At 37.8% G+C, this 15,438-nt stretch overlaps 2 protein-coding genes and 1 long non-coding RNA gene across 14 annotated transcripts in view, besides 2 other annotated features; 2 read left to right on the forward strand and 1 right to left on the reverse strand.

Moving 5' to 3' along the window:
• Positions 1–15,438, forward strand: part of CMSS1 (cms1 ribosomal small subunit homolog) — a 363,871-nt gene that overhangs the window by 57,223 nt on the left and 291,210 nt on the right. The window lies entirely within an intron of this gene.
• Positions 1–15,438, forward strand: part of LOC105374010 (uncharacterized) — a 223,532-nt gene that overhangs the window by 57,223 nt on the left and 150,871 nt on the right. The window lies entirely within an intron of this gene.
• FILIP1L (filamin A interacting protein 1 like) overlaps positions 1–15,438 on the reverse strand; it is a 285,691-nt gene that overhangs the window by 46,274 nt on the left and 223,979 nt on the right. For 8 of the 12 annotated variants that reach the window (NR_170715.1, NM_001387851.1, NM_001282793.2 and 5 more), the window contains exon 1: positions 988–1,089. The exons of the other annotated variants lie outside the window; for them this stretch is intronic. The gene's annotated coding sequence lies outside the window, so the exon portion shown is untranslated. Of the gene's footprint in view, positions 1–987; positions 1,090–15,438 lie in introns of those variants that run through there. 12 annotated transcript variants of the gene reach the window in all.
• Positions 926–1,395: a silencer, noted in NCBI's record as "silent region_14566". NCBI's record gives its function as "represses an Ori minimal core promoter by ATAC-STARR-seq in GM12878 lymphoblastoid cells {active_cell/tissue: GM12878}" and the evidence as "EXISTENCE:reporter gene assay evidence [ECO:0000049][PMID:35858748]".
• Positions 2,961–3,255: an enhancer, noted in NCBI's record as "tiled region #14327; HepG2 Activating non-DNase unmatched - State 6:EnhF, and K562 Activating DNase unmatched - State 5:Enh". NCBI's record gives its function as "activates a minimal TATA promoter and a strong SV40 promoter by Sharpr-MPRA in HepG2 and K562 cells {active_cell/tissue: HepG2 | K562}" and the evidence as "EXISTENCE:reporter gene assay evidence [ECO:0000049][PMID:27701403]".

The raw sequence follows: 15,438 nt of genomic DNA on the forward strand, positions 1-15,438 counted from the left end.
ACCAGATAAGGATTGAATGATGAATCAATTTTTCATCTCCTATTCCAGTGTTCTAAAGTTGACATAACCTTTTTATTTTTAATTCCTACGTTGACTTTTAGTTGGAAAAAATGAAGTAAAATATTATGGAGATTTTTCTGCCAAGTGTTCAGTTATCATACTGTAAGAGTTCATTGGTAGCAATAGCCTCTTCAGGATTTAGATGTAACTAATTATGGTTTAAAATGTTACTGATTAATACAGTTACTCTATAAGTTTTACCTTTTAAATTGGCATTTTTTACATAATATACTACTATCCAAAATATTACTCTAGAAATGATAGCTGTAAGTGAGGTTTGTCATTTTTCCAATGCCTGGACTTGAAGCAGAAAGTTAGAACTCAAAACTATGATAGTTACTTCCTTGTACAAATTGACATATGCTTTTACGACAAAATAGCGTTTGTACGATTTTTTGAAGCTTAAAAAGATTTTACTTTTTAAGTTAGATTCGTCTTAATTCCAAGATGTATTCCTAACAGTGTTTTTCTAGTCGTTTATATTAACATTTACAAAAAGAGGGGAAAACCTGGCACTAACAAATTTTCGCATTCTGCTCATGTAAGACAAGCGAGTTTGAGTCCGGAGGAGAGATAGGGTTGCTGCAGTACAATATAGTCTCCCCCACCCTTTCCCCAAAGATTTCTCAATATGGGCAGGATTCAATGTGTAGCTCACTTGGAAAGCGTATGTAATACAGTCACCTCCCACCTCTCAACATTTAAAATTAAATCTCTAATCTGTTTTCTCCTCCAGAGAAAACTTCTACTTTCAAGTTTTGTGTGAGTTGGAAACGGTTTTGAACCTAGAATTCATTGGATGCGCTTTGCGAAACCTGTCTGCAGTTTGTGATGCTGAGACAGCTTTAACAGCCACCCACAGACTTGCTACCTGGCTGTCTGACAGCAGTGCCCCTTGGTGGAGCGAAGTTGCTCTCCCGGGCTTACCTGAACTGCCTGCGCCGGGGCCGGGCGGGGGCCGGGCCGGGGCCGCTGTAGTGCCGCGCTGCGAGCCGACTGTGCGCGCTCCGAGAGTCGCCCGAACAATGCGAGCGGGGCGCTGAGCGCGCCCGGCCTATGGGCGTTACGTCACTGTTCTGCCTTATAAGGCGCTCCGCGTGTGCGGCGCTGTCGGCGGGGGCGCCGGTGACCGCGGGACCCTCGGCCGCGGCGGCGGCGCAGCCACACACCCCAGCTCCCGCGGATGTTCCGGCCGTGTGAACGGACCGTGGTTCCCGGCTCCCAGCGGAGGGAATGAGTGGTGGGCCGGTGGGCCGGGGCGCCGGCGCCCTCCTGTCGGGCTAACAAAGTCATTGGGAGGCAGGGTCGATCCGCTTGTAACTTTTTTCCCTCTGGGTCCCTAAAGCTGTTGTTGCTTCAGGGACTTCAATACACATCCTGTTATTCTTATGTAAACTTTTGTAAATTCATTATACTTTTTATTTTTGGTTGCTGGGGGTAGGCGGGAGAGGGAAAGGAGAAGTCTGGGGTTTTGTGGAGACATCTCTGGGGGTGATTTAGACTTCAAACCTTCTCTTTCCTCTTTGTAATGAGTAGGGGTCCTCAGAGGATGGTGTTTTATTTCCTGATGATGTAACTACCAAACAATTCTTCAAGTGATGATGGAAAGGCCAGATGAAATCTTATTTTTTTCAGTGTTTTTCCTGAAAGAACTTCCTCTTTCCCCATTTCTGCATGCCTGTGTTTTAACGAAAGCAGTTAAAACTATCATTTTTTGGCAGGGAAAAAATTTTTAAAGAAATTAAATGTTTTGTGCTGTACTTTCAAGACAATGTATAAAATTAGAACTTTAGAGCCAGTTTTAATGTTTGTTCTCTTCTACCGGCAAACAAAATAAAGCCAAAAATAACCACGTGAAGAAAAAAGAAATTAGCCAAATGTGATTGAATTAAGAATATTATCCTCTAGTATGGGGTAGATTTACTTGTACAAATCCTACTTCTTGTGAATGAGAATTCACCTCCGAATTATAAGAGAAGTCATACCTAAAGTTCTAGCCCAACTATATGAATCTGCTAAATAAATTAGGGACGTGGCATTCTTATTTGCAAGCTTCAGATGAGTAATTTTAGTAGCTTGAGTCCTTTTAAAACCTCTTTTAAAATTACATTAAAATAGGATTGCTTCCTATTATGATGTACATATGTCTGTAGAATTATTGTTTCCATATGTTTTGTCAAACAAGAATGACGAAAATAGTCTGCTCGCTTCATTTTCTTAGTGTGGAGTGGAGAAAGGATGTTTGCAGAGTTGTTAGTGGAAATGGTGTGGAATAAAGATGCAGGGCACAACATTAAATGTATGTCCTCTTCACTAAATTGGGAGTTCACTTTATCATTATTCTAGATCACTCTAAGTACCTACTGAGAAACCTAAAGTAAACTCACTCTTGCTTTTCATATACAGTATACTAAGAGATGTGAATTACACATACTCTTCAGCCGAACTTAAAATTTAATATTTGATTTGCAATTGTGTACTAACATTTTGGATGTTGAGTTTGTAGTTTTGTTGGTTTTAACTCTTCTGCCCTATACTTGTGAATTGCATTGTAATCTTTTTAGTCTCCTGTGCTTACCTCATACTTATTAAATATCCTTTTTGAGACTTTTATGCTGCATTTTTTATTACAAATGAGATTAAATGACTTTTATGAAAGTTGTATGATGCATAAACACCTGAATCTCAGCCCCAAACTGATAGCATACTTTTACCCCAAAGCTAACAGTTTTGTAGCTTGTTTTGCATCTTTTTCCCTCTGATAGGCAAATATGTTTCCTAACATTTAACACTACCATTTGTTTCTTTCTCACATATCCATACTCAAGTTTTGCATTTATTTTCATTCTTTTGACTTGCTGGTTCCCATGAAATATGTTAGTATTATTTCCTCCTTTTCTTTAGCTATATTCTGAAGAATAGAGGAAAGAGGATTAGGGCTTCTACTCCTTGTATGCCCTTGCCTGGTACACTACTTGCCTGGTTACATTACTAATGTGTTACTCCTGAAACATCAGTCTCTTGACCCAGCTATGACTCAGCTTTCCAAGTGAGGTCATAGTTATGTGACCACTGTCTTCAGGAACCAATATTAATAGCCCTCATTTGTTGAGCTTTTAGATCATACCTACCACCATACTTAGTGCTCTACAAGCATTTCATCATTTAATCTTCACAACACATTTTGATGTGATATGATCCATTCTTTTCAGATAAAGACATTTAGAAGGCTAAAGTGGCTTGACCAAGGTCACACCGCTACTAAAGTAATGATACAGGGATTTAAAGCAATGTTTACATATATAGCCTTCTACATATATAGTCTTACATATATAGCCTTCTTCTACATAAATAGTCTTGTCTTCTCCTAATAGTTTGTTCAGAATCTCTCAGAGGTATGTTTGGTAAAGGAGTGTTCAGATTTAACTGAGAAGTTTCTGTTTATTTTCTAGACTGAATCTTGAACTGGGAAAGCCAAGACTCATCCTCTTTTTTGTGGATTTGTGGATTTACTGACAGTTTTCTGGAAGGTGGCAGCAACGTATCTTGTTCTAGTAAAATTAGAATATCATCACCATTTCACTTCAAACGAAAGTCAAGGGTTTTGAGGGAGCAGGACCTTTAACTGATACAAGAGTACCCTGGGTGGTGTATTGCAAACTCCAACCAGCTGTTGGCATTGTGCGCCATTGGCCACATAAGTAGATGAGTAGACTTTTATTTCCTTCCCTCTTTCAACCAAAATTCTTTCTGAGATGTAATTTTTATTCTCTTGGTTTCTGAAATTTTCTTCATTTGTGAAATTCTCTTGGTTTCATTTGTGAAAATAGTAGAGTTATGATCACTGTGCCTCAAAATTGGATGAGAGAGTTTTACTTCCTAACCTTGTTCTGTCCAATTACTTTTGTGACTTTCTTTTCATTTTTTAATCAGGAATTTACTACAAATAAGCATACCTAGACACCAAGGTCCTTTCTACAATTAGTAATCTGAGTTTATGATCTAAATCAGCACTAGCTTTAAACTGTTATTTAGAAATGATACAAAGAAATTTTTCTACCAAGTTCATTGCTTTCTAATGCGGGAGAAGGGGTTTGTAGGTAACAAGGCAAGAAACAAGGAGATACCAACTAGATTTAGCCATATTATATTATGTCAAAGACAGCTTAATATCACCAGTTTCCCTGGTTCGAGCTAATTGTCAGGAGGCCATGACAATGACCACATTAACAGGTGTTATTAGTGAAGTCAGTTGCTACTGACCATAATTACAACATCATCATTATTTAACTTTTAAAAAATACCATTAATATACTGCTAATCACATCAAGCCAGTTCCTCTTTTTGAAGTAACTGCTCTTATTTTCTTTCATGTCTTCTCTCCCTGCCTTTGTTTCTTCTTTTGACTGGTCATGTCTTTCAGTCATCCAAGTATAGTAAGTGCCAAAGAAGCAGTAATTAATAGGATGTTTCTTGCAGCTACCCAAAATTTTCATTGCTGGTCCTTTGGTCATTTAAGCAGTTGGTACGCTCTGCTCCCTAGGAGCTCTGCTTTGAGCTATGAGATGGTAATGCTAACTTTGTATATGACATGTTTGCTTCTTTGCCTCTGTGAGATAGTATATATGGAAACACTGTCATGTACAAAGAAAAACAGCAAGACCTGTATAAGACCTGGTCTTATGGACCTGGTCCTGTATAAGAAGCTGAACAGAGTGGGAACAGACCCAGGATTGCATAGGGAGAGGTATAGTTCCATGGTCCTGCATTGCTTCAGACTACAGTTGGATTGGCCAGAATATGAGCTTTCGGTGTTTATTGCACCCCACGCTACCTTCTACCACCTTACCCACAGCCTTCTTGCAAAGCAGCTTTGCCACTGAGCACTGGATAACCTTGCCATGGATCCGATCCTGTGCTTCTACTCTCCGATCCCTTCTCCTCTGCTGCTACACAACTTAGGACGAAGGCTGAAGGGACCTGTAGGCAACTGTGAATGTGGAGCCAAAGGGGATGTCTGTGGTAAAAGAACCTTCTCTCCATGCCCTAGACAATCATTTTTCTAATCAACCTCATTTCTTCACTCTTCTTTCACTCTTCTTTCAGTTCTTTGGGTGCCACCTGTCTGGCTCTGTACATGTAGATACCCACATGAAATATACCATATCTCCGCACTTAAACTGTACTTAAAAGAGCCTTTAACCAGCAGACCTTAATATACATATAAACTGCAGTAACTGAATATATATATGAACTGCAGGTCTATATATATAGACCCTCTTTACTTTTATCTGTAGCCTGAATCTCTGGTCCCAGGCCTATATATGGTCCGCAGAGTTTCCAGAAGGCTTCCAATTATTCTGCTCATACTTCAGCTGACTATGACTCTAGAACAGTGACATATGTACCTTGAGAAGTGATTACAGTAGTAGTGTCCATGTGATGCTAGGGAATGGGAAGTCCTTTGTTATTAAAACATTAAAATGATGATATTTTGTGGTTTTAAAATTAATTTAAAATTTTTTTGTTTTAAAATTAATTTAAAATTTTTTTTATTTTAAAATTAATAGGCACCCTTCATAATTTGGAAAATGCATAAAAGTAAAAAATTTTACATGTAGTCCTACCACATGAATACTGCCAACTATTAACAATTCAATGTACTGTGTTTCTTTTAGTCTTTTTCTAAGCATTTATAAAGCATCATTTTCGTAGTGTGGATGGACCCTGTATGTGTATGTATATGTGTATGTATATTATGTTTCTTTTTGCCTTTATTATATATTTCTGAATCATGTTAGTGGCTTTTCTGTAGACATTGGGCTATTTAAAAGCGCATGTTTACATATTCTCCCTAGCATTGGTGGTCACAAAGCCAACTACTGCCTGTTGGCCCCCTAACATTGCCACGGTCTTGTTCCTCATCAAACAAAGCAAGGAAGTCTATTTAATAAGGAATCATCTGTTGGTAAGAGACTTCCTACCCTTGGTTTACAGGGGATGCCATAAGTTGGCTATGGACTCTAGTGAGCATACTAGTAGGTAAGTAGAATGACTTAGAAAGAATGAAGAATTGGTAATGTGACGCCACTGTAAGATTATTAAATGGGAAGCAGGAAAAGTCTGTTACTTAGGTCCAGTCCATTTGCTTATTTATTCCTACAAACATTTTGTGTTTCCTTGGTAACTAATAATAGTTTTGAGAAAATGTTGAACTCACAAGTATTACTGCAGAAGTGAAAAAAAACCCCCAAATCACAGAAATTAGAGACGGAAAAGACCTATTAGGTCATCTTCCCTGTCCCTTGCCAGTACAGATTGTTCTCAGTGCTTTGTTCAGTCCATTTTTTAAAGGGACCTTGTCATATAATTTGTAGCCCATCTCTCTCTCTCTTTTTTTTTTTTTGAGACACAGTCTCACTCTGTTGCCCAGATTGGAGTGCAGTAGTGCAAGCTCGGCTCACTGCAACCTCCGACTCCTGGGTTCAGACAGTTCTCCTGCCTCAGCCTCCCTAGTAGCTGGGATTATACATGTGTGCTACCACGCCTGGCTAATTTTTGTATTTTTAGTAAAGACGGGGTTTCACCATGTTGGCCAGGCTGGTCTCGAACTCCTGACTTCAGGTGATCTGCCCGCCTCGGCCTTCCAAAGTGCTGGGATTATAGGCGTGAGCCACCGTGACTGACCCATTTCTTTTTTAAGTAATACATTTTTAAAGAAACCACTGACAGATTTTCCCATGTAGATGTGGAGCTTGATTTCAGGGTAAGTATTTGCAGAGAAAGACCTGTGGATTCAAAGTACAATTGAACAAGTTTTGTTAGTTTGAAGTCATTGGAATAGTTTAGGATGTCTTTGGAATAGTTGACCAACTAAGAGTAGAACAGTTAGGTAAATTGGATTTATATGTTTTCTTTTATCTTTGGAACTCAAATAGAGCAATTCCTGAGCATAAATTTTAATTATAAACTTCAAGACTCATTGAAATGGTCCTAGAAAGCCTGAGAAAATAAAGCATCCAGGAAGTAAAAAAATAAGAGTAAAACTATTTCTTCTAAGATTATTTTTATGAAAATTACATTTTAAAACGTCCCTTTCGGTTCCAAATTCTGCTTTGTCCATTATTTATGTAGTTAATTGCTTGATATGAAGGTGGCTTCTAATTGTAAAATCCTTTCCTTTTGTCTGGCAACTTCTTCCAGACTCTAGAAGGACAAAATAAAACTGTCTCATATAAGCAGTCAGTGGTGGTGGTAAGACTAAATCTTCCACTTCCTCATATAATGGCTGGAAATGTATTCACTGAGAAAAATGAACAAATTAAGAGTAAAAGGTGTGCTTAGAGTTTTATTAAGAAGAATGATCCTTTCATAAAATCATATTTTAGGGTATAAGAGGCCTTAGAAAACATCTGATCTTCTTATTGCCACTCTCTGTTCCCATTTTTAAATAGATGAGATAACTGGAGCTCAGAGAGGTTAAGGGACTTGCCCCAAGGTCACACAGTAAATTGGTGACCCAGTCACTGTGTTTTCTGGGACTGAATGTTTCTTTTGGGAAACATGAAAAAATGGCACAAACAGTGTGATTAGTATCTGAAATCCCAATTAATAATTGAGTAATTTACCTAGCTTATACTAACTGCAAAACTAATTTGGAACATTAATGAGCTAGTTGTCTACTTTATGGATTAGAAATGTTTTCTTTTGTTGCATTTGTTTTAAATTGGAGATTTATAGATTGCTGCTTATCATCTCAGGCCACTAAGATTGGCCACATGTCAAAACCCTAATGGAGATGTCTGAACTTTTAATATAAATTTCTGTGTTATCATGTAACACCATTATCTTGCATGCTTGCCAATTGGGGGTTCTGTACATGAGAAATTCTATTATAATTTATGTCACTAAGCATCCAGTCTACATCATAAAATGCAGGTTTGGAAGATATGTCAAAAGTCTTGTGTCTACGCTTAGATTGAATTATCTCTCAAAACTTCAGTGTTTTATCTAAGAATTGGTACATGCACAGTCTAGTTGTTATTAATCAGTGCCGAACAGCTCCAGAGATTTTTTACTTCCCCAGCAAGTCCATTCCATTCCAAACTGAGAACTGGCTGCTTCTAACTTCCACTCATTGTTCTTCATCTTTCCATGACACCATGTTGAATAAATGCGTTGCTTTGACATAAAAGTCTTTTAAATATTTGAAAAGTTTGTCTTGAGTCTTCAGTTATTCCTATATTATATCATTTTAGTCTTTTCACACCCTGTGTCCAAAAGGTTGGTGCTTAGAATGAACAGATTATTTCATCATGATTATTTCAGCATTATCAGAGTTATCCTCCCCTTTTATAGGCTATGTGAATGTGTGTGTTGGCTGGGGGGTGTTGTATAAACAGATTTTCTTACCATTTTAGACAACCATATCACACTGTTGAGTCAAAGAGCTTACTGATCATCAGTCTTCTAATGAACAACTGCACACCCAAATGTTGTCATCATGTACTGCTTCTGTGATAATCTAGGATAATCACTTCTATACTGGTTTTGTTTGTATGACTTCATTGTTATAATAATAACAAAAACAATAATAGGTGACACATTTAATGTTTAATTGATGTCAGACACTACACGCTTTACAAATAGTAACAACTTTAATCCACATAATAACCCTATGGGATAGATAACTGAGGAACAGAGAGGTTAGGTAATTTGTCTAAGATCACAGAGCTAGGGAATGATGGCACCAGAGTTTGAACTGCATACTGACTCCAGCAACTTCTGGGGAAAATCACACTCAGTGTTTTGTAGTAAGATTTGGATTTAGGGGGTAAACAGTACTAACAGAGAGTTACAGAACTTTGTACTTCTCTCATCTGCTATTTAGTTCATTGGACTTGAACTATGGGCTAGGAGAGTGAGAATGGATCTTGGAGATTATCTAGTTAGCAGCCCTTATAGTTCATGGAACTAAGACCCAGGCTGTGCAGTAGCCTGTTCAGGGATATGCATATGGGAAAAGCTCAAGCCAGAATGGAGTGCTTTTTTACTGAAGAATTCTAAAATGTTTCTGCTTCATATAATATCCTCTCTCTGTCCTTTTTCCCCTTCTTTCTCCTTGTCTTCTCTCCCTTTTTATTTATGGTGCTATCAGTGTTAGAACAACAATAATAGAAAGTACATGGAAAAGATCACTTAAAATCCTACCACACCATGTTTTAAACTATTTTCATGTATTGCTGATTTCTGAATCTGTTATCTTGTTAGATTATGACATTGATTTAAGTTTCATAGCTCAAATATGGAACCTCTATAAAGAAGTTCCAGGGAGTGGAAAGGGAAGGGAAAGGAATTGCTGTTATTTATTAAGAGCCTACTGTCTGTCAGTCACTCTGCCTACCTGCTGTCTCTGATGTCTCAAACTTCCTTCCCACTTTATGGGATTCTGTAGGAGGACCAGCACAATACCCTGCACAAAGTGAGCATTCTGCAAACCTAAAGAACGAGGAAATGAATGAAAGGAAGTGCTTTGAATTCAGCAGAAGAAAGAGATAACAATCATGTGCGAACTACTCCCAGCTATTGCCTATTGACTGTTAGCTTTCAGTTCATTTTTGTACAATTTAACCATTGAGGCAAATGTGTATACAGGATACCATGGAATGCTGTTTACAGGTATAGATTTTGGTTCTTGTACTTTTGAAGCAGCTGAATACTGATAAGGCCTGTGTCCAGAAACTATTTTTTTCCTTCATTTAATCAGGTTTCTTTACTTCCTTGACCACAAATATTATTTGCTAAGGAAATTTCTTCTTTGGGGTGGTATTTAACCATGCAAGTGGGGAAAATTGTGCTACGATACTGTTCTGACAGCCTGTGGACTTGAGGGAAAAAACTGCAGGAGCAGAGTTTCCTTTCAGCAGTCAACTATAGGCTCAGTCACTTCTTGACAAAACATAAGTTAAAATAGTGCTGATTTCTTTTTGAACATAATCAATTCTAATGGAAACTGTTCCAGCTGAGTTTGGAAACACACAGAAGCAGCCTTCAGTTACCATTGAGGCTATTATTGCCCTAGTAATACCAAAGAGACTCTTTCAGCCTACTTATTTGTATTGGATGCTTGTAGGGCTATTTCATGGGGACCTGGTGTTGACTCTCAGTGACTTCCACTTTGACTCTGAGATTTATCTTCAAATGCTGATGCATTCTAAGATTTATAGAAGTACAAACTTATCTTATTATTGCTAATTTGTCCCATTACTAGACTATGCCCCTTAGAGTTATAATTATGACTAGCCCAATTACATTTTATTGTCGTGCCCTTTTTTGGCAAAAAATAAAATTTCTTTGTTAAACTCAAGGATTTAAAATTTAGCACAAGTTCATAAACTTACTTTGATACTTCTTCATTTCCTTTTTAAAAATACATCAGTAGACTCAAAATGTAAAAGTGGCTTAGGGCTCACTTGACCTCTGAAAGGTGGCTGACTGACTTTTAGTTAAAAACAATATTTGTCTATATATCTCTGTCATCTATTTGTGGCTACTATGTGTTGAAACTTTGTGGAACAGATATCTTTCTCCCTTCTTCTTCCCTCCTCTCTGCCCAAAAGACACACACACAAACACACACATGTACACACAGAGACTTGAAGGCTTTTGTGTACATTTACCAACTACTACAACAACAAGAAATGAAGAACAATACAGCTCAACTCTGTAAATCTAGAATGGGGAATCTATTTCCCAAAGGCTGTATGCAGTATCTTTTCAGCGAGTCATGGTAGCCTCCAACAACTAGTAGCACTCTTTGTGCATGAGGATATTTCTGACTAAAAATCCACCTTTGTTGATAATGTTTGTTCACTGTAAAGGAATTGAGTGGATAAAAGAGGTATTACACTTTCCTTTCTATATCAAGGAAGGTGGAATATTCAAACAGAACACTCTATGTGTGCACACGTGCACATGGACGTGAGTGAGAGATGATTTATAGATATAGAAGAGTCCTACTGTATTCTTTTAAGAGGTATTCAGCAACTATTTGTTGAATACCTTCTGTGTGTTTATCACTATGCTGAGTTCCTGGTGAGAGGGGAATGAGTGTAAAGCAGGGATGTTATCACTATGCTGAGTTCCTGGTGAGAGGGGAATGAGTGTAAAGCAGGGATGTCCAATCTTTTGGCTTCCCTGGGCCACACTGGAAGAAGAAATCTCTTGTACCATACATAAAATACACTTAACACTAATGATACCTGATGAGAAAAAAAAAAATCGGAAAAAAAAAATCTCATGTTTTAAGAAAGTTTATGAATTTGTGTTGGGCTACATTCAAAGCTGTCCTGGGTCACTTGCAACCCATGGACCACGGCTTGGACAAGTTTGGTGTACAGCACATTCCTGCCCAGATTTTGGGGGGGTAGATAGAACAAACAAATGAACAAAGGCCCAAAAAAAAATTAACATTAAATTAAGATATTGAGTTGGGTGAAGTAAGAATATTTTAAAAATATCAGTTAGGTGGCCAGCGTGGTGGCTCATGCCTGTAATCCCAGCACTTTGGGAAGCTGAGGTAGGCAGATCACTTGAGGTTAGGAGTTCGAGACCAGCTTGGCCAACATGGTGAAACCCATCCCTACTAGAAACCAGTATCTACCAAAAATACAAAAATTAGCCAGGCATGGTGGTGGACACCTGTAATCCCAGCTACTCAGGAGGCTGAGGCAGGAGAATCGCTTGAACCTGGGAGGCAGAGGTTGTAGTGAGCCAAGATCATGCAACTGCACTCCAGCCTGGGCAGCAGAGGGAGACTCCATCTCAAAAAAAAAAAAAAAGTACTGGCCGGGTGTGGTGGCTCATGCCTGTAATCCCAGCACTTTGAGAGGCTGAGGTGGGTGGATCACCTGAGATTGGGAGTTTGAGACCAGCCTGACCAACATGGAGAAACCCCATCTCTACTAAAAATACAAAATTAGCCGGGCATGGTGGCGTGCCTGTAATCCCAGCTACTCGAGAGGCTAACAGGAGAATCACTTGAACCCAGGAGGAGGAGGTCGCGGTTAGCCGAGATTGAGCCATTGCACTCCAGTCTGGGCAACAACAGCAAAACTCCATCTCAAAAAAAAAAAAAGTATCAGGCTTAGAAATATCTGGTAGATCTTCATCAGAAGTTAAAGTTCATCTGGACCTTGAAGGGTGAGTAAGGCATTCCAGGAAGGAGAATGGTGGAACAAAGGAACCCTGGATTTACTATAGTCATTGGTTGGCTCTCATGGAGCAGAGCTGGGCCTCTGCAGGCAATTGTGCATGTGGTGGCTATCACAGCCATGACTGAGAGGTCACATAAGATGGATCCAGGCTACGAATAGGTCTTAAAATTTAAGTAGTGGGTTCTGGGTTTTAACTTCATGTTACAGACAGTCGGGTGCCATCAGCAGCTTTTGAGCAGTTGAATAACATGTTGAAAGCAGTTTTAAATGAATCATGGCATTGTTAGAAAATTCTTTTTCAATTTCTTATATAAGTACAATATATTTATATGAAATGGAACTGGGAATACCCAGATATACATATAATATAGATATGGATATGATGTAGATATTGAGATAGGGCCTCATTCTGTCACCCAGGCTGGAGTGCAGTGGCACAATCACGGGTCACTGCAGCCTCGACCTCTTGGGCTCAATTCATACTCCCTACTCCCACCTCAGCCTCCCAAGTAGCTGGGACTACAGGTGTGCACCACCACACCTGGCTAATTTTTTTTTTCCATAAAGATGGGGTTTTGCCATGTTGCCCAGGCTCATCTTGAACTCCTGGGAAGGTTCAAGCAATCCATCCACCTTGGCCTCCCAAAGTACTGGGATTACAGGCATGAGCCACTGTGCCTGGCCTCCTGTTGTATATTAATACTTCTCTTAGGTACTATCTTCGGACAATTGGTGATGTGGAGCAGCATCTATTGAAAAATTTTAAATGTCTGCTCTGAGAATAAAAATAAAATGGGTCTATGAAGTTGTAATTAAATAGGAGACTTTATTTTGAACTTATTAAATATTAGAATAGCTGTCAGAGGGCCAGGCATTATGTTGTGCACCTGTTGCTACTTGGGAGGCTGAGGTGGGAGGATCACTTGAACCTGGAAGGTTGAGGCTACAGTGAGCCATGATCATGCCACTGCACTTCAGCCTGGGCAACAGAGTGAGACTCCATAGCTTAAAAAAAAAAAGTGACTGCTAGAGAATGGTTTTTGAGCCATTTACTTGATAAGTAATTATGATTTACCAAAGGTTCTTCCCAGAGAAAAGTTGGTGGCTGGGTAAAGATCTCCCAGGCTACAACAAACAAAACAAAACAAAACAAAAGCACCCCTGAATATTAATGAGTTGGTTCGTTGGTTGGTTTTGTAGAGGTGCCTGTTTGATCCATCACTGAAAATAGAGAGAGGCTCTTTATGTTTTAGGTACACCCTCCTAACTGCTTAACCTATCAACAATTTTATATACTGGCTGTGGAAGGTAAAGTAGAGAAAAGAATCTTCTTAGACTGCTTTTTGTAGAGATATGAACACTTTATCTTCATTTTTCTCTCTTCCAGCAAAAGAAATTCTATAACCATCTTTGTTGATTCATTTTGATGTTTCATAAATTTCCTTGCAAAAAAATAACTCTGCTAAGAACTTTAGCTTGTCTCTTTTCTCTCCATGATCTTATTGGGCTTTCATCTCTTTACTTAGTTGTTTAGAATTGTGCTTCTTAATTTTTATAAACATATTTTTAGGTAGAGGAAGAGCATCTTTTTTGTCATTGATTACATTATATTCAGAGAATTTGATCAGTATGTTATCTATCCTTTGACATTAAGGTTTGTTTCATGGCCTCACTACATGGTTACTTTTTGTTCAGGTTCTCTATCTGCTTGAAGATAATTTATGTTTCATGAAACTTAACAGTTTTCTGTATATAAATAAAGCTTGTTAATTGTGTTGTTAAGATCTTCTGTAACCTTACTGATTTTTATCTGCTTGGTTTATTAATAACTAACAAGGATGTGCTGTACTCTCCCACTGTGATGATGGATTAGTTTGTCCTTGTGTTTCTGGCAATTCTTGCTTTACATATTTTTAGATGCACACAAATTCAAACTGTTCCTAGGAAATGGAATCTCTTCATATTATATAATAACCCTTTATAGATGTTTTTAACTTTAAGTTCATTTTGTTTGATATTAACATAGCTATATAATCTTTCTTTTAATTAGTAGTTACTAATGTCTTTTCTGACCTTTTACTTTCAGCTTTACCATACCCTTATGTTCTGGTGAGTCTCATATAAATAACGTATAGCTAGGAATTATAATTGTTAAAATTGCTTTAATCCAGTTTTACAATTTTTATCTTTTAGCAGGATCATTTTGTCTATGTTTATAGTAATTATTTGCTGTCTTATTTGATAATTCCATTTGTACCACCTTTTTGTTGCTTTTATCTCATTTCTTGGCTTCTTCTGAATTTTATTTTTATCTATTTCCTCTCTCTCTCTACCTTGTAATACATACTGTATTCCTATTCTATTAGGGATTAATGACCCTATAAATTCCATCTCACAAGTTAAATTCTCAAAAGTCTAAAGCTACTCAGTATATTAATCCTCCTCCAAAAAAATCTAAGGACTTCAAAACACTTTTAATTCTGAGCATACCCTCCCAGTTTTTATATTATTGTTATTATATATTTTAGTTCTAACTTTAATTCCATAGGACATTATAATCTATTATTGTTCTATTAGGCAATTATTGGTTTAGATATACCAATATATTTAACACTTTCTTCGCCTCTTATTTCTTCTTTTATTCCAGACTTCTCTCTGGGACCACTTTCCTTCAATCTAAATGCATCCTTTTGAAGTTCCTTTAGTGGAAGTCTGCTCTTTGCACACTGTATTTATTTGAATCTGTCTTTATTTCACCATCGTTCTTGAGGATTTTTACTGGGTATAGAATGCTTGGTTGAGACTTGTTTTCTGTCAGTACATTGAAGATATTATTCCACCAACTTCTGGTTTCCCATTTTACTGTTGAAAAATCATCTATCTAATTGTCATTCCTTTTTTCCCTGGCTGTTTTTATGATCTTCCCTTTGTCTTTGATATTATACTATTTCATTTGTATGTACTTAAATGCAGATTTCTTTTATTTTGTCCTTACCAGGTTTCATTGAGCTTCCTGAGTCTGTAGATTAGTGTCTTTCTTCAGTTCTAGAAAATTCTTAGTTTATATTAACATTTCAAATATGGCTTCTGAACAGTTTTTTCTCTCCTTAATCTCTTATAACCTAGATTAGACACATGTTAGACTTTCTTTATCTTCACATCC

This window comes from Homo sapiens, chromosome 3 (genome assembly GCF_000001405.40).
Source record: "Homo sapiens chromosome 3, GRCh38.p14 Primary Assembly".
Taxonomy (NCBI): Eukaryota; Metazoa; Chordata; class Mammalia; order Primates; family Hominidae; genus Homo; species Homo sapiens.